General features: G+C 40.1%; 2 long non-coding RNA genes across 6 annotated transcripts in view, besides 1 other annotated feature; one reads left to right on the plus strand and one right to left on the minus strand.

The window, feature by feature from the left end:
* Positions 1-20,140, minus strand: part of LOC105377885 (uncharacterized) — a 143,181-nt gene that overhangs the window by 77,350 nt on the left and 45,691 nt on the right. The window lies entirely within an intron of this gene.
* LOC124901358 (uncharacterized) lies at positions 1,112-8,359 on the plus strand. Its single transcript, XR_007059671.1, has 2 exons — positions 1,112-1,361; positions 7,455-8,359. It is a non-coding gene; the product is annotated as an uncharacterized LOC124901358 (long non-coding RNA).
* Positions 4,790-5,731: an enhancer, noted in NCBI's record as "OCT4-NANOG-H3K27ac hESC enhancer chr6:89091597-89092538 (GRCh37/hg19 assembly coordinates)". NCBI's record gives its function as "activates a minimal SCP1, AML or CMV promoter by ChIP-STARR-seq in primed H9 embryonic stem cells {active_cell/tissue: H9 hESC(primed)}" and the evidence as "EXISTENCE:reporter gene assay evidence [ECO:0000049][PMID:30033119]".

Below are 20,140 nucleotides of genomic sequence, written 5' to 3' on the forward strand. Positions count from 1 at the left end.
ATTAATACACAATTACCAAAAATACTAGACTCTTGTTAGAGGTCAGTGATGATTTGAGACTGTATATTTATATGTTAATGCATGCTTGGATTATAAGGCAGAGCTTCCCAAAAACCACAGCAAGTGTAGTTTTCAAAAATGAACTTTGGATAATAACCATGACCCCTGCATTCCAAAGACATTACAAGATGTGAACCACACTGTTATGTGGTTGTGGCTTTTGAAACAAAATTAATCTTTTGGGAAATACAAGGCTCAAGAGGAAAAAATAAGAGAAAAAACTGGGTAACTCAGTGAAAAGCATACAAAGATGGGTTCCATTAAACCAGTAGAAAGTTTCTTTTCAGGTCAATTAACCTCACAGATCATAGAAGTTATTAAGCTGAATTATTTATTCAAAGGATAAAACCCTAAAGGAAAGGAAGAAGATCTTTAAATGGCACTGCCTTGCACAGATTTTAGGCAATAAATCAAGTTCCCAAACAATTTCAGTTACTAAAGTCCTGAAGTGTATTAGATTACCAAATCAAGTGATATAGAAGGAGGCAGCACAGTCCATGTTTGAATATATATGCATTATTGCATTCATGCCTGACTCTGCTGAGTTAGGAAGAAATGCACGTGTTTTCACAGGTAGAATAATTTTCCAGCTTTTAGTCCCAAATGGACACAACACTGACACCAAGAAAATTGACAGAATATTATTGAAGCTTAGATCCTGTTATATGTGAATACAAATGCTTTGCTCCTTTTGAACCCTTAGCAAAAGGGAGCGCTTCTTAGAGATTAGGGTCTCCTGCAGGAGATGAGGAGCAAGCATCAAAATTGGCAGTTTTGTGCTTTCATGCAATCAATATTGTTTATGAATTGCTCCAACATGGCTGCATCCATTTAAAGTGGGGGAAGAAAGACACTACAAATACACACACTTGAGAATTTCAGGAAATTACCCAAATGCTCAAATCCTTGCTGGGGGCAATGGTTTTCAATAGGAGTTTACATGATAAATCCATGCACTGAATACATTTAAAAAATAATAATCTGGCAGTGCATGGAACAATAGCACACCCATATCGCCTGTTTATTTTGAAACAGTCCTTTGTCAGAATGTGTCTGAAATTAGGCCATCAAAAAGGAAACAAGACAAAGAAGGCCCAGAATGACTGAAGCAGGCAAGGCCGCTTATCCAGTAGACCCTGACAATGCCACGCATGCTGCGGAAACTGCTCAGACAAGAGCTTACAAAGAAGCAGACAAAGCCAGCATGGAAACGGGTGATAAGCAGAGATCTGCGGCCATCAAGAGGGAGAGAAGAGGAGGCAGCTGCAAAGACTGAGGCCAGAAAACCAATGGAGAGTCAGGTAGTAGATAAATGCAGCGATAGTAATGATGCTGCATTTATCTGGGCTGGAATTCACTGGCTGGGTGTCACTATTGTCAGTGTGCTCTTGGTCATCTGACGGCTTGTGAACTACTGATGAACAAGGTTGATTTCCATGGCCAAAGTTATGTTAGGGTTTTGAAAGGGAGAGAAAAGATCTTGTAGATCCCAAGTTTGGTTTTGAAAAATATCATGTCTGAAACTAGAGTAAACAGCAAAGGCTAAATTTTCAAAAACAAAAAACTAGGGCCAGCATTTGTGAGAAAGCCCATTCACACCCACACGCTGGCTGGCGCAGGAGATGTGGGCATAACTTGCAGGGAAGTTGCTTCGGAAGTGAGAGCCCACTGACAGCCGTCATATCTCTCCCAGCATAATCTTGTAGTTACAGCCCCATCTTCTGTGAGTGCAAGATTGCCACTTTTTTAAGAACTTTTTTTAACACCTGAGTCATTTCTTTACAAGGGACAAGTGTTCCCACAAGACAAGTGATGTTCAAGGTGCCAAGAGAAGCTGTTTTTGTGTGTGTTTTGTTTTGTTTTGTTTTGTTTAAAAAAAAAAAAAAAAAGGAATGGGCAAGAACCATAACTCCAAAATATCCTCCTGGGCTGAACTTTCCATTTCCACACCTGCAGTTTTCTAAGGTGTGCTTAAATGATCCATTTAAGGAATTTTGCCAGCTAGTCCGTTTTGTTTTGTTCCTTCTACTGTGGATGGATGAAAAAGCAGTTATAAAACCATCGCTAAAGAACCAAAGGCAAAGACAGGATTCGTACATCCTAAACTCCCTGTTCTGGATTCTCGGTGGATGTAAGAATATCAAAAGTTACATTGCATTTTCCACAGTGGAGAAATATAATTTAACAAAAGCACCGTGAGTGGTACATAAACTCTTTAGTAGCTGGTTAAAAGGTTAAAGGAAAGGAGAGTAAATAACTCATCCTTAAGAAGGGAGAAGACTCCCTGATCCTGGTTTTAGAAATTGATCCCTAGTTCAAGCACAAAGCAATGACGGGGAAAAAAACTGACCACAAATATTGTTTTCTCCCCATTATGTCTCACTCCAGCCTGCATAATTAGTTGGAGAAAGTTTCACGTCTGATAGCCCCACTCTCAGTCCATGTCTGCAAAATTACGACTGTGTTGTGGTTTCTTAGCTCCGAAGACTCCATGGGCATTTAGCAGGAAGGCCACATCTCTCATTCAGCAAGGTGGCAGGTTTTGCGGGGGTTCTGGGGAGTTTGTGATTGCTGCTTCGTGTGCACAGAGTGAGAATTGCTCTTTGAAGCACATCCATAATTTCAAAGTGAAAAGCAGTCTTTGAGAAAAGTGCCTGTGATAGGTAGTCTCCTAATAACAGTAGAAAATTATTTCCACAGCATTTGGGACTCTAACAACCCTGGTGACATCTCCTCCCAGTTCAGCAGTCACCATTCCTCTTTGGGATTACAAAAAGGTGATAGCACGCCTGGGCCTCATTATAACAAGACTCCAGGGGGTGTGGAAAGAGCTTTTCTCCAGTCTAAAATAATTGTGTCAGCTGTAAAAACTGTGTACTGACCCCCTTTGTATCAAAGATCATATTGTGATGAAGAGGCATCTTTCTTTCTTTCTTCCTTGTAGTTACATTCCCAATGCTGGAAGAAAAGATTTCCCTGTGTGATTACCTTGAGGGGTACCAGCACTGTTAATAACAAGTCAGTCCAGCCCAGATTCTAAATGTTAATAGACTGACGGGCCTGGGGGAGAGTTTTCAGCTGGGGAAGCGGGCTGGCAGCAGCCCATCTCCCAGCATTGACTCATGCCTGAATCACAGCCAGGCTGGCAGGATGTTGTTTTGGGGAAGTTCACAGGCCTGTCAAAAACCTGCTGTTGCCATTGGCTGATATTATGCAAGATTCCAAATGATATTTATTTATATTCTCCTTTGAGTTTGTTTTGTGGCTCCCCCTCCCCCCTACAGGCACTAGAGCTTCAAGTGACCAAAAAGAAAAAGAACATTTAAAAGATAGGCAAGAGCTCATCAAAAATAAAAGGCACTCTGCCACCGAACTCCCTTCAGCTCTCAGGTCAGAGCAGTGCCAAGCAATTTGCTCTAATTCATTAAAGCCCTTTCTTCACTCTTCCATTGGACAGGTGCAATTGAGAGACAGGCCTGGGGATAAGGCAGAGCCCCCGTTTAGATTTCCACCCATGGCAAAGAAAAACGTGCAGTTGCATGCAGGCATATTCCTTTCCACACTTGTAAAATATCTTTATAACTTGCTGGGCTAACAGATTAAGCATTTAACTTCTCTGATGGGGTTTAGCCTAGGACTGGGAGGATTTCCTTTGTTTCATGTCTGACTGATGATGGGTGTGAGGGCGGGGCAGTGACTGTGCAGCTCTTAGAAGATTCAAGGAGACTTGAGCTTTTCAATCTCAGTTTCTCCCACTCCTGGAGTCTGTAGGAGTTTAACTGGAGAGCTAAGGAAATTCTCCCAACTGTATATTATGAAGCACTGATAAGTTCCTTTGCAGAAACTTGGTAGGCAGAAAGAGTGTGAGTGAATTCATTTATATGCCTAATTTAAGACATAATTGAGAGGCACAGTGTTCTAATAGATGGAGTTCTGGCTGAGGAATTAAGAAACCTGAGTTCCATTCTTAGCACAGATGATGGCTCAGTGCAGGGAAATCAAGGGCTGGCACTTTCCAGAGGAATTTGAACTCTAGAGACAGTCAATTCAGGACACAATTATTCAGAAATACAGCCATGATCCCCATTATCTAGAGCTTTCATTGTTCCGATAAAAACCAAATTTAGCTCTCCCTAAATTCTTAGCAAAGTCCTAATAAAAAATGGTATTTGAGTTGAGCCTCTAGAGGGGAAAAGAAGGTATTATTTAGCATTCACTCTTCAAGGGGGAGCTTTCTTTGGAACATTGTTCAAAGCAGACCTGTGGTGTGGAGGAGGGGCTCCCCCAACCCTGGTGATGGGGAGGCACACCAGGGCTCTTTCAAGTCCTGCCTAGGGCACTGGACACAGCTGTACTACTGCCTCCCTGAAAATATGACCTTGGCCATTAGCCTGAGTGCTTGGTAGTTGTTTCCATCTAAACAGCACACTCTGGGAAGATGTGGGGAAAAGCAAGAGAGATCAGATTGTTACTGTGTCTGTGTAGAAAGAAGTAGACATAGGAGACTCCATTTTGTTATGTACTAAGAAAAATTCTTCTGCCTTGAGATTCTGTTAATCTATAACCTTACCCCCAACCCCGTGCTCTCTGAAACGTGTGCTGTGTCAACTCAGAGTTAAATGGATTAAGGGCGGTGCAAGATGTGCTTTGTTAAACAGATGCTTGAAGGCAGCATGCTCCTTAAGAGTCATCACCACTCCCTAATCTCAAGTACCCAGGGACACAAAAACTGCGGAAGGCCGCAGGGACCTCTGCCTAGGAAAGCCAGGTATTGTCCAAGGTTTCTCCCCATGTGATAGTCTGAAATATGGCCTCGTGGGAAGGGAAAGACCTGACCGTCCCCCAGCCCGACACCCGTAAAGGGTCTGTGCTGAGGAGGATTAGTAAAAGAGGAAGGAATGCCTCTTGCAGTTGAGACAAGAGGAAGGCATCTGTCTCCTGCCTGTCCCTGGGCAATGGAATGTCTCGGTATAAAACCCGATTGTATGCTCCATCTACTGAGATAGGGAAAAACCGCCTTAGGGCTGGAGGTGGGACCTGTGGGCAGCAATACTGCTTTGTAAAGCATTGAGATGTTTATGTGTATGCATATCTAAAAGCACAGCACTTAATCCTTTACATTGTCTATGATGCAAAGACCTTTGTTCACGTGTTTGTCTGCTGACCCTCTCCCCACAATTGTCTTGTGACCCTGACACATCCCCCTCTTCGAGAAACACCCACAGATGATGAATAAATACTAGGGGAACTCAGAGGCTGGCGGGATCCTCCATATGCTGAACGCTGGTTCCCCGGTTCCCCTTATTTCTTTCTCTATACTTTGTCTCTGTGTCTTTTTCTTTTCCAAATCTCTCGTCCCACCTTACGAGAAACACCCACAGGTGTGTAGGGGCAACCCACCCCTACAGAAGATTTTAGATTTAGAAGACAAAGCAATCAATGCTCATAGCTTCACTGCCCTTACATACACTGCAATCTGCTCTCTGCCTAAAGTTGTTGGGAATACTAACGAAGTAAATGCAAGTAATTTTAGGAAACTTTCTCAAGCCATCATGATTATATAAACATAAATCTCAAGTACAGTTATCACCAAATTATGTTACCAAATATTCCCCTCGAACTAATGATCATTTAACGAATTAACAAAGTGGTCCACTACATAATACCGTAATTGGAGGTTCCACACAAAATAGTCACTTCCTCTCCAGCACTAAGAACCTCTTTTGATTTATTTTCCCCATGTGTCTTAATTTGTTGAGTGTCAAAAATTGTATTCCTATCATTTTTGGCTTTATCAATGATGAACATGTTTTTATTATATTTTACTGACTTGGTCTTTCACTAGACAGTTATTGGTGTCAAATATGGACCATGCACCTTGCTAGGTATTTGGGATGCAAAGACAGATGTCTATCCCTGGCCTTAAGGAGTGACAGTCTGGAAAGGAAAGACAGACCAGTCAGGATAGGACTGGGTCACAGGCGCTCCGGTATGAGTCTCAGGTTTAGTAGAGATGCAAAGATGAGAGAGTATGGGAAAAGGAATAGGAGAGAGGAGGTAATGAATAGATATTTACTTATTTTTCTCAGTGGAAAAACAGGGTGTAGCCTTCTGAGCAAATTCAAGGCACAGCACAGTGTGAGGTGTTTGATGAATCTCAATGTTTGGAGCTAAGACATAGTAGAGAGCAGATGAGAGAAGGGCATAAGAAGTATGCAGAGGTCAGATCTTTGGAGTGCTGCTCATGCTTGTCTAGACTTTATCATGTAGGCAATGGGAAGTTATGGAAAGATTTTATCAAGACAAAGACATGACTCCGTATGCTTGAAAAGATCACTCTGGGGGTGGTCCATGGATAGAGGCTGGATTAGAGAGAGGTTTAATAAATATATACGCCCAAGTACACATTTTCTCTTCTATTAACAAAACCTGTATTTTTCTTGAGAAACTAACTGCTCCCCATGCACAATTGATGGGGGTTGTGTAGGATAACTTAACTCTTAACTCTTTTTCTGGCTCATTTGGGTAAGAGCAAAGGACAGCCCATCCTGGGATTTTGCTGAAGCAGTTAAAGAGGAGGCTGTCTCTTTCAGCTGAGATGGCAAGAACAGGCTGTAAGCCTGGAACTGAGCTGCCACCATGATGCACATTGGGAGAGCCTGCCTAGATGGAGTCGCACAGCGGAAAGTCCTAGGGTATAAGGATGGAGTGAGACAGAGCTCTCATTATATATTTCTATGATCTGGACTGAGCTGTCCCTGGGCCTTCAGATTTCTCAATTGTATAAGCTTATTTAGTTGAGTTTTCTGTCACTTGCAACCCAAAGTTTCCTAACTAATGCAGTGAAGAAGGGAGACCAGTTCTAACAAAACAGTTCAGATGAGAGATAAGAAGCGGCCAAACTAAGGCAGTAGCAGCAGGATTGAAGAAAAGAGTGACAAAAATGAAAGAAACTAAGGGGGCAGAAAACTAAGATTCAGTGACTGATTACATCTGAGGGTGAGGAGAGGAAGATACCTAGGATGATCCCCAGGTTTTTCACTTGACTGCCATGGCAGTGAAATTTACCACCATAGAGGATAGTTGATAAAGAGAAGGTACGAGGGAGAAGAGAATGAGTTTGATTTGGGATATGTTGAATTATGTCCTCAGGGACATCCAGGTAGAGATTAGAATAAGCAGTTTGATAATGATTCTGGAAGTCAGTAAAGAAGCCTGGACAAGCTTGAAATTGAAAATAACAACTGTAGGTTACAGATTCCTACAACTCATAACAACTATTTGAGATCCCAAGATCCCAAGGTGGGAGCAATCAATGGATATGAACAAAAAAATTGCTGTTTCTCAAAGAAAGTGCAACTTATGTTTTTGGTATGACACTTCTTGTTTTTCAGAACTGTTTAGGACATTGTTGAATTTTAACATCTCCAGATGCTGGCACTAAACGCTGGAGCACCTTCCATCCTTCAGTAAATGCAACAACTGGAAATGGCCCCCTATGGTTCTCAGTGTCCCCTGGAGGGGTAGTATCATCTTCCATACGCCGTGTGAATCACTATGACTAGTGTGTGGATCTGTGTGCTAGCATATGGGTAGCCTTCTACTCCTGTGTCCTTCATACAAATATAGAGGAAATCGCTCATCTGTAAGTTCAATGAAAAAGCCGCACAATGAATCCAACTCTGAAAAAGCTGAATGCTTTCACACTATGTCATCCTGCCTGCCTGTCCTGCTCTTCTCAGAACCCCAATCTTCTTAGATGAATGCTCAGAAGCTCTGTCTCCTGTAGCCACCTTCAGCCCACATACCACCTGTGCAAAAATGTACATACATATCAATGTGCATGAGCATGGTGTCACAACACACATCTAACTTTGTGTCTGTTTGCAGATGCGCATCCATGATATGGACCACTTGTGCCATTTCTAAGTTTGGGAAATATTTAATATCATTCAAAGCCAACCAATATGGCAGTATGCTTTGAAAGTGAAATTCTAGTAACATAAAAATCACATTTATCTGAAAATGAGCAGGTTTCCATGTGTGAGTAGTAAGGTACCCATGTGTTGAGAGTGACATGTAACGTGGGGTTTGTAAAAACCTCCGACAATGTTGAATATATAAAAGACATTACTGAAGTATGCAATGATTGGCTCCTTGATTCAATGAGTAATAGGTACCTCTCAGACTAATTTGAAAGCCTTCATTTTTTTTTGACAAGCTCTTTAATTTGCACAGTATCATGAATTAACTTGTATGTAAACATAGCAATTTGATGAATTAAATGCATTAAATAAAACGCATTGAGTGCATGAGATTTTATACACTTGCTCTTGGAGTAAGAATCTCAAGGAAATTAAGCTGTCTTTATCTTTTAAAGCAGAAGCTACAAGGGGCTAATTTTTTCTCTCATTTCTATTGGAATAAGAGAGGCTGTTGGGGAGGCAGGGGGAAGAGAAGAAAGGAAAAGTAACAGGAATCTAAAAGCAAAGGAAGAGTCATTGTCCATCAGTGCCATGTCTACTAGGCTAAAGGACAGTTTTCAGGCCCAGAGCCTGTGCAAGACAGAGAAGAACATAAATTTTAAAACATCTGGTCAACATTTCATGGCATCTTCACTTAATTTTCAAGTTGAGTCACATGTGTACCTGACTAGTTTATACTTTCCTTCCTACACCATTACTACTAAAGCAGAGACAATGGGAGGTAGAAAAATGAACTAGAAAATGTCTTCTCTCTACTGTATTTGCTACCGTATGTTCTACAGTGTGGTGAAGAAACTGGAGCCAGATACACTTGCTCCAGGGTGTAAAAAGGAAGCGGGGAAGAGCCAGGTCATTTTCTCTGCTCCTTTTTTTCCCAGGGAGGGGGCTCTCCAAGTGACACAGGATAGGAGAGCTCTGAAATTGGGGCTCACCCTGGGAGGGTCCTTGGCTTTGCTCAGGAAAGAATTCAAGAGTGAGCCAGGAGTGGAAGAAAGCAGGTTTATTGAAGTGGCAGTGTATAGAGAGTAGCAGTGTATAGGCCATTGGCTATCAGTATTTATGTTTATTTCTTTATTACATGCTAAATATGGAGTAGATTATTCATGAATTTTCCAGAAAAGGGGTAGAGAGTTGCCAGAACTGAGGGTTTCTCCCCCTGTTAGACTATATAAGGTAACTTCTGGACACTGCCATGGCATTTATAAACTGTCATGGCACTGGTGAGAAAGTTCCTTTTAGCATGTTAATGCATTATAATTAGTGTATAATGAGCAGTGAGGGCAAGCAGAGGTCACTTTCATTGCCATCTTAATTCTGGCTGGTTTCAGCTGGCTTCTTTACTACATTCTGTTTTATCAGCAGTGTCTTTGGGACTTGTGTCTTGAGAAACAAGTCCTGCCAACTTCCTATCTCACAAGTGCAGAGCCATTTACCAGAAAGAATGGCTTAGAATTGAGCAGTAGAGAGATCTGGCAACTCTTTGGGCTTTATATCTACTAAAACTCGGAAGAAAGCACAAATGTAGGTGTAAAAAAATGTTTTTGAAGCGTACTCAGCAATTTTCTTCAAATTGCATTTGCTTTTAATGTGGCAGTGTCATCCTCAAAGTCCCAGGATGAGCTACTTGTCTCACACTGAACAGAGTCTTATTCAGGATAAGCTGCCTCCTGGCAACGACCTCAACAACAAAGAAAGTCTTCTATGAATTGAAAATGCCAAGTTTACTTTTTAATATGCTTCACCAACGAACAAATAAAATTATGATACTGTTTTGTGATATCACATGGACCAAGGACAATTCTTTACCTCTTACTATTCCTGTGAAAACTAGATTTCCAAGACTCATTTTATTTATAAAATAATTATAATAATAATAACAGTAGTATTAGCACTAGCACTGTTGACAGGAATAGTATCAATAGTACTATGTATCAAAAACCTCCATTTTGTACTTGATTAATTGTAGCAATTATTCTCCCCATTTTATTGTTGAAAACACTGAATAGTAACAAAATCAAGGGACTTGCCAGAGATTACCCAGCTAGGAAGTGGTAAAGCAAAGTTTGAGGCTAACTCTGAAGACCTCACTTTTCCTGCTACAGCATTTCCTTATGCCCATAGTTTTCAAACATTAGCATGCATCAGAATCACCCACAGGACTTACTAAAACACAGATGCTGGGCCCTACTCCAGAGTTTCTTTCTGAGTGGGTCTGGAGTGGAACCCAAGAATTTGTATTTTTAACAAGTACCCAGGTAATGCTGATGCTTCTGGCCCAGAGATTGCACTTTGAGAACTACCACTCTATTTATATATTTTTTTTTATCATCCTTCTGTTCTCTGAAGGCTGTCTGCCCTTGTATTCAGAAGACCAAAGTGCTAATTCTACCTGGCATTGCTTTCTCCAATGTTGTCTGAAGACATACGTAAAATATGGGTTCATACTAAAGATGGAAACATGTTGGGTTAATGAGGCATTACCAACAATTAATGTCCTTAATGTTTAGCAAGCTCACAGGCTGTGAAAGGCAATTGGATGCAGGAGTCCCAGTAATGGTGCTCTTTCAAAGAAGTCCTTTGGGGAACATATTCTTATTTCAAAGGTAATGTTATTGAATATTCTTATGATAGTAAATCTGTATACTTTGTGGAAGTAACCTAGAGTCACCCAAAGTCTAATGAAGTAAATAAACAATAGAACAAAAATAAAACACATGATTTTAGACTTTTTATAAAAGGTCATTTTCTTGTGTGCCCTTTAGACAAATCCTGAATAAGATTTCAAAGGAAGAGGTTCAAACTTTCACAGAGTAATGGTAGGTTTCCAATGTAACTGCTTTGTGTATGTGGAAAGGATTTGGATCAAACAACTGTAACATTCCTCAAACTCTGAAATACAATTCAGTAGGAGGCTGTATCATAAAGTAATCTCAGTGCTTATCACTTTATATTGTCAATTGCAGCGTCCACAAATTCCATGGGAAACCAGCTGTATGAAATATTTTTCAGTGAACCTTTATTGAATCAACACATACATATGAAAATGTAAACAAATTCTAAGTATACGGCACAATGCATTTTCAGAACGAACACCTCCATGAACTCACCACCAGGTTAATGAAGCCTTACCAGCACCCCAGAAGTCCTCACCCTCTTGCCTACCCCAGCCACAACTCCTCTTGACGTAACCACTCTTCTGACTTTTATCATGACTGATTAATTTTGCTTATTTTTGAACTTTAAATGCCCTTGTGTCTGACCTATACCACTCAATATTATGCTTATGAAATTCATCCATATTATTGATGTAGCGATAGTGGTTCATTCTCATAGTGACATAGTATGCCATTGTATAAATAGACTACAATTAAAAAAATCATTCATGTTGTTAAAGGACACTTGAATTGCTTCTAATTCGGTGATATTACAAATGACATTTCTATGAACATTCTGGGGCTTGTCTTTTGGTGCCACCCCACATGTATCCCACCTAAAAGTGGAATTACTGGACTACAGAACATGCCCATGTTCAGTGTCAGTAGATACTGCCAGTTCTCCAAAGCATTGTGTCAAGGCACTCTCCCTTCAACAGTGTACAAGACACTGCACATCCTTGCCAGCACATGACATTGTCTGCATGTCTAAGTTTACCCATTCTGGTAGGCTTGTGGTTGTATCTAGTGGTTTCCACTTGCATTGCCCTGTTGACTCTGTACCCTTTTTCATGTTTACTGGCCATCTGAATAGTCTCTGTTGTAAGGGACCTGTATAAAGTTTTTGGTTTTTTTTTTGTTTTACTGGTTTGCATGCCTTTTTCTTATTTACTTTAAGAATTTTAGAATATATTTTGCATATGAATTATGTGTCAGTTGCATGTTTTGAAATTCTCTCTCTCATGCTTGCCTTTTCACTCTCTTAATGGTGGCTTTTAATAATTAGAAGTTCTTAAATTTTAATGTAGCCCAATGTACTCTTTCTCTTCACATTCAGTGATCTGTGTGTGCTTTTAAGACATCTTTGCCCATCCTAATGTCAGGAAGATAACTCCCAGTTTACTTGAAGGAGCTTTAATGTTGTGCCTTTCACATTTCAATGAACAATCTATCTAGAATTAATGTTTGCCTTTGGAGTGAGATAGGGGTCAATATTTGATTTTTTCCACTATGGATATGCAGACGACTCCAAATAATTTATTGAAAAGACCACTTTTTTCTCCATTGCACTGTGATGTCATTTCTGTGAATACATGTGTGTGTCTCTTTTTGGTCTCCATTCTTCCAATTTGTCTACTCAACTGTCTTTTCACAAACACCACACTGTCTTAATTACTGTGGCCTTATATTAAGTCTTGACATCTGCAAGTATAAGTTCTCTAGCTTTTTCCTTCTTCATTATTGTCATTTGCCACCCCTTGTATTTCCAGATATTTGAGAATCAGCTTCTCAGATCTGACAAAAAATTAACCTGGTGGGATTTTAATTATGACTGCAATAAGACTATAGATATTTGAAGTGGGGGAGAACTGACATCTTAACCAATTAAATCTTCCAAATTATGAACATGCTATGTTTCTCTATTTATTTAGACCTTCTTCAATGATTCTCAATAATATTTTATGGTTTTCTGTATAGAAACTACAGTTTCCCTTCACATCTTTTGGTCAATTTACCCATAAGAATTGGTGTTTTTACTTTTACACTGTTGGTGGGACTGTAAACTAGTTCAACCGTTGTGGAAGACAGTGTGGTGATTCCTCAAGGATCTAGAACTAGAAATACCATTTGACCCAGCCATCCCATTACTGGCTATATATCCAAAGGATTATAAATCATGCTGCTATAAAGACACATACACACATATGTTTATTGCAGCACTATACACAATAGCAAAGACTTGGAACCAACCCAAATATCCATCAATGATAGACGGGCACCATGGAATACTATGCAGCCATAAAAAGGGATGAGTTCATGTCCTTTGTAGGGACATGGATGAAGCTGGAAACCATCATTCTTGGCAAACTATCGCAAGGACAAAAAACCAAACACCACATGTTCTCACTCATAGATGGGAATTGAACAATGAGAACACTTGGACACAGGAAGGGGAACATCACACACTGGGCCCATCGTGGGGTGGGGGGAGCGGGGAGGGATAGCATTAGGAGATATATCTAATGTAAATGACGAGTTAATGGGTGCAGCACACCAACAAGGCACATGTATACATATGTAAGAAACCTGCACATTGTGCACATGTACCCTAGAACTTAAAGTATAATAAAATAAATAAATAAATAAAAGAAAAGAATTTGTGTTTTAATGCTATTGTGGTAATAATGTTCATTTTCTATTTTACATGCTGTTATAGATATATAATTGATTTTCATATATTGATCTTATATCTGGCAACATTAATAAATTTATTAATTCTAATAATTTATCTATAGACTTTTCTATTTTCTACATACATAATCATGTTACTTCCATATTTAGATAATTTTCTTTCTATTCAGTCTCTCTCCATTTTTCCTCTTTGATTTATTGTACTTGGTAGGTCTCCTTATACAACCCTGAATAGAAATGGTAATAGCACCAAGATGGCCAAACAGGAACAGCTCCAGTCTCTAGCTTCTAGCATCATCAATGCAGAAGACGGGTGATTTCTGCATTTCCAACTCAGATACCTAGTTCATCTCACTGGGACTGGCTGGACAGTGGGTGCAGCCCATGGAGGGTGAGCTGAAGCAGGGTGAGGTGTCACCTCACCAGGAAACACAAGAGGTTAGGGGATTTCCCTTTCCTAGCCAAGGGAAGCCATGACAGACTTCTTGGAAAAATGGGACACTCCCACCCAAATACTGCACTTTTCCCAAGGTCTTAGCAACTGACAGACAAGGTGATTCTCTCCTGTGCCTGGCTCCATGGGTCCCACGCCCATGGAGCCTTGCTCACTGCTAGCACAGCAGTCTGAGATCGATCTGCGAGATGGCAGCCTGGCTGGGGGAGAGGCATCTGCCGTTGCTGAGGCTTGAGTAGGTAAACAAAGCTGCTGGGAAGCTCGAACTGGGCGGAGCCCACCACAGCTCAACAAGGCCTACTGCCTCTAGACTCCACCTCTGTGGGCAGGGCATAGCTGAACAAAAGGCAGCAGACAACTTCTGCAGACATAAACGTCCCTGTCCCACAGCTCTGAAGAGAGCAGGGGTTCTCCCAGCATGGTGTTTGAGCTCTGAGGATGGACAGACTGCCTTCTCAAGTGGGTCCCTGATGCCTGTGTAGCCTAACTGGGAGAAACCTCCCAGTAGGGGCCAACAGACCCCTCATAGAGGTGGCTGCCCCTCTGGAATGAAGCTTCTAAAGGAAGGGTCAGGCAGCAATATTTGCTGTTCTGCAATATTTGCTGTTCTGCAACCTCTGCTGGTGATACTCAGGCAAACAGGGTCAGGAGTGGACCTCCAGCAAACTCCAACAGACCTGCGGCTGAGGGACGTGACTGTTAGAAGGAAAACAAACAGAAAGGAAGAGCATCAACATCAACAAAAAGGACATCCACTCCAAAACCCCATCTGTAGGTCACCAACATTAAAAACCAAAGGTAGATAAAACCACAAAGATGGGGAGAAACCAGAGCAGAAAAGCTGAAAATTCTAAAAATCAGAGCACCTCTTCTCCTCCAAAGGAACACAGCTCCTCACCAGCAATGAAACAAAGCTGGACAGAGAATGACTTTGACGAGTTGACAGAAGTAGGCTTCAGAAGGTCGGTAATAACAAACTTCTCCGAGATAAAGGAGGATGTTTGAGCCCATCACAAGGAATCGAAAAACCTTGAAAAAAGATTAGACAAATGGCTAACCAGAATAAACAGTGTAGAGAACCTTAAGTGACCTGATGGAGCTGAAAACAATGACATGAGAACTTCGTGATGCATGCACAAGCTGATTTGATCAAGTGAAAGAAAGGGTATCAGTGACTGAAGATCAAATTAATGAAATAAAGCAAGAAGACAAGATTACAGAAAAAAGAGTAAAAAGATACGAACAAAGCCTCCAAGAAATATGGGACTATGTGAAAAGACCAAATCTACGTTTGATTGGTGTACCTGAGAGTGATGGGGAGAATGCAACCAAGTTGGAAAACACTCTTCAGGATATTATCCAGGAGAACTTCCCCAATCTAGCAAGGCAGGCCAACATTCAAATTCAGGAAATACAGAGAACACCACAAAGATACTTTTCGAGAAAAGCAGCCCCAAGACACATAATTGTCAGATTCACCAAGGTTGAAATGAAGGAAAAAGTGTTAAGGGCAGCCAGAGAGAAAGGTCGGGTTACCCACAAAGTGAAGCCCATCAGACTAACAGCAGATCCCTCGGCAGAAACTCTACAAGGCAGAAGGGAGTAGGGGCCAATATTCAACATTCTTAAAGAAAAGAATTTTCAACCCAGAATTTCATATCCAGCCAAACTAAGCTTCATAAATGAAGAAGAAATAAAATCCTTTACAGACAAGCAAATGCTGAGAGATTTTGTCACCACCAGATTGCCTTACAAGAGCTCCTGAAGGAAGCACTAAACATGGAAAGATACAACCAGTACCAGCCACTGCAGAAACATGCCAAATTGTAAAGACCATCAATGCTATGAAGAAACCGCATCAATTAATGGGCAAAATAACCAGCAAACATCATAATGACAGGATTTAATTCACACATAACAATATTAACCTTAAATGTAAATGGGCTAAATGTCCCAATTAAAAAACACAATCTGGCAAATTGGAAAAGAGTCAAGATCCATCAGTGTGCTGTATACAGGAGATCCATCTCAAGTGCAAAGATGCACATAGACTCAAAATAAAGGGATGGAGGAAGATCTACCAAGCAAATGGAAAGCAAAAAAAATCAGGGGGTGTAATCCTAGTCTCTGATAAAACAGACTTTAAACCAACAAAGATCAAAAGAGACAAAGAAGGCCATTACATAACGGTAAAGGGATCAATTCAACAAGAAGAGCTAACTATCCTAAATATATATATGCACCCAATACAGGAGCACCCAGATTCAAAAAGCAAGTCCTTAGAGACCTACAAAGAGACTTAGACTCCCACACATTAATAATGGGAGACTTTAACACCCCACTGTCAATATTAGATCAGCGAGACAGAAGTTTAACAAGGGTATCCAAGACCTGAACTCAGCTCTGCATCAAGCGGACCTAATAGACATCTACAGAACTCTCCACCCCAAATCAACAGAATATACATTCTTCTCAGCACCAAATCACACTTATTCCAAAATTGACCACATAATTGGAAGTAAAGCACTCCTCAGCAAATGTAAAAGAACGGAAATCACAACAAACTGTCTCTCATACCACAGTGCAATCACATTAGAACTCAGGATTAAGAAGCTCACTCAAAACCACACAACTACATGGAAACTGAACAACTTGCTCCTGAATGACTACTGGGCAAATAATAAAATGAAGGCAGAAATAAAGATGTTCTTTGAAACCAATGAGAACAAAGACACACTGTACCACAATCTCTGGGACATATTTAAAGCAGTGTGTAGAGGGAAATTTATAGCACTAAATGCCCACAAGAGAAAGCAGGAAAGATCTGAAATCGACACCCTAACATCACAATTAAAAGAACTAGAGAAGCAAGAGCAAACACATTCAAAAGCTAGCAGAAGGCAAGAAAAACTAAGATCAGAGCAGAACTGAAAGAGATAGAGACACACAAAAAAAAAAACTTCAAAAAATCAATGAATCCAGGAGGTGGTTTTTTGAAAAGATCAACAAAATTGATAGACCACTAGGAAGACTAATAAAAAAGAAAAGAGAGAAGAATCAAATAGACTCAATAAAAAATGATAAAGCGTATGTCACCACTGATCCCACAGAAATACAAACTACCATCAGAGAATACTATGAACACCTCTACACAAATAAACTAGAAAATCTAGAAGAAATGGATAAATTCCTGGACATATACACCCTCCCAAGACTAAACCAGAAAGAAGTTGAATCCCTGAATAGACTAATAACAGGCTCTGAAATTGAGGCAATAATTAATAGCCTACCAACCACAAAAAAAGTCCAGGACCAGATGGATTCACACCCAAATTCTACCAGAGGTACAAAGAAGAGCTGGTACCATTCCTTCTGAAACTATTCTGATCAATAGAAAGAGGGAATCCTCCCTAACTCATTTATGAGGCCAGCATCATCCTGATACCAAAGCCTGGCAGAGACACAACAAAAAAAAGAGAATTTTAGACCAATATCCCTGAAGAACACTGATGCAAAAATCCTCAATAAAATATTGGCAAACCAAATCCAGCAGCACATCAAAAAGCTTATCCACAACGATCGAGTTGGCTTCATCCCTGAGATGCAAGGCTGGTTCAACATATGCAAATCAATAAACATAGTCCATCACATAAACAGAACCAAAGACAAAAACCACATGATTATCTCAATAGATGCAGAAAAAGCCTTTGACAAAATTCGACAGTCCTTCATGCTAAAAACTCTCAATAAACTAGGTATTCATGGAATGTATCTCAAAATAATAAGAACTATTTATGACAAACCCACAGTCAATATCATGCTGAATGGGCAAAAACTGGAAGCATTCCCTTTGAAAACTGGCACAAGACAGGGATGCCCTCTCTCACCACTCCTATTCAACATAGTGTTGGAAGTTCTGGCCAGGGCCATCAGGCAAGAGAAAGAAATAAAGGATATTTAAAATTAGGAAATAAGGAAGTCAAATTGTCCCTGTTTGCAGATGACATGATTGTATATTTAGAAAACCCCGTCATCTCAATCCAAAATCCCCTTAAGCTCATAAGCAACTTCAGCAAATCTCAGGATACAAAATCAGTGTGCAAAAATCACAAGCATTCCTATACACCATTAACAGACAAACAGAGAGCCAAATCATGAGTGAACTCCCATTCACAATTGCTACAAAGAGAATAAAATACCTAGGAATCCAACTTACAAGGGCTATGAAGGACCTGTTCTAGGAGAACTACAAACCACTGCTCAAGGAAATAAAAGAGGACACAAACAAATGGAAGAACATTCCATGCTCATGGATAGGAAGAATCGATATCGTGAAAATGGCCATACTGCCCAAAGTAATTTACAGATTCAATGCCATCCCCATCAAGCTACCAATGACTTTCTTCACAGAATTGGAAAAAACTACTTTAAAGTTCATATGGAACCAAAAAGGAGCCCACATTGCCAAGACAATCCTAAGCAAAAAGAACAAAGCTGGAGGCATCAGGCTACCTGACTTCAAACTATACTACGAGGCTACAGTAACCAAAGCAGCATGGTACTGGTACCAAAACAGAAAACTAGACCAATGGAACAAAACAGAGGCCTCAGAAATAACACCACACATCTACAATCATCTGATCTTTGACAAACCTGAGAAAAACAAGCAATGGGGAAAGGATTCCCTATTTAATAAATGGTGCTGGGAAAACTGGCTAGCCATATGCAGAAAGCTGAAACTGGATCCCTTCCTTACACCTTATACAAAAATTAATTCAAGATGGATTAAAGACTTAAATATTAGACCTAAAACCATAAAAACCCTAGAAGAAAACCTAGGCAATACCATTCAGGACATAGGCATGGGCAAGGACTTCATGTCTAAAACACCAAAAGCAATGGCAACAAAAGCCAAAATTGACAAATGAGATCTAATGAAACTAAAGAGCTTCTGCAGGGCAAAAGAAACTACCATCAGAATGAACAGGCAACCTACAGAATGGGAGGAAATTTTTGCAATCTACCCATCTGTCAAAGGGCTAATATCCAGAATCTACAAAGAACTCAAACAAATTTACAAGACAAAAAAACAAACAACCCCATCAAAAAGTGGGCAAAGGATATGAACAGAAACCTCTCAAAAGAAGACATCTGTGCAGCCAACAGACAAATGAAAAAATGCTCATCATCACTGGTCATCAGAGAAATGCAAATCAAAACCACAATGTGATACCATCTCAAGCCAGTTAGAATGGCAATCATTAAAAAGTCAGGAAACAACAGATGCTGGAGACGTTGTGGAGAAATAGGAACACTTTTACACTATTGGTGGGAATGTAAATTGGTTCAACCATTGTGTAAGACAGTGTGGCAATTCCTCAAGGATCTAGAACTAGAGTTAACATTTGACCCAACAATCCCATTACTGGGTATATACCCAAAGGATTATAAATCATGCTACTATAAAGACACATGCACATGTATGTTTATTGCAGCACTATTCACAATAGCAAAGACTTGGAACCAACCCAAATGTCCATCAATGATAGACTGGATTTAAAAAACGTGGCACATATACACTGTGGAATACTATGCAGCCATAAAAAATGATGAGTTAATGTCCTTTGCAGGGACATGGATGAAGCTGGAAACCATCATTCTCAGCAAACTGTCACAAGGACAGAAAACCAAACACTGCATGTTCTCACTCATAGGTGGGAACTGAACAATGAGATTACTTGGACACAGCGCGGGGAACACCACACACCAGGGCCTGTCGGTGGGTGGGGGACTGGGAGAGGGATAGCATTAAGAGAAATACCTAATGTAAATGATGAGTTGATGGATGCAGCAAACCAACGTGGCACATGTATACCTGTATATCAAACCTGCATGTTGTGCACATGTACCCTAGAACTTAAAGTATAATAAATTAAAAAAAAAAAGAAATGGTGATAGCAGACATCCTTATCTCATGGCATAGCTCAGAAACAAAGCTGTATGTTTTTTACCATGATGTTTGACATTTACTGGATGTTGTTGGGCTTTCTTAGTCAAATTAAAGAAATTTCCCTTTGTTCCTAGTTTGCTAAGAGGTTTTTAATATGCGTTGAATTTATCAAATGTTTTTTCTATATTCCTTAAAATGACTGTATGACTATATTTCTGCTTTATTTGGTTGCTATAGTTAATTGTATTGATTGATTTTCAAATGTTAAACCACACCTAAACATTCTTCAGATAAACCCAAAGTAGTTGAAATTTATTACCTTTTAATTTATAGATGGATTAGAATT

Source organism: Homo sapiens, chromosome 6 (assembly GCF_000001405.40).
Source record: "Homo sapiens chromosome 6, GRCh38.p14 Primary Assembly".
NCBI lineage: Eukaryota > Metazoa > Chordata > Mammalia > Primates > Hominidae > Homo > Homo sapiens.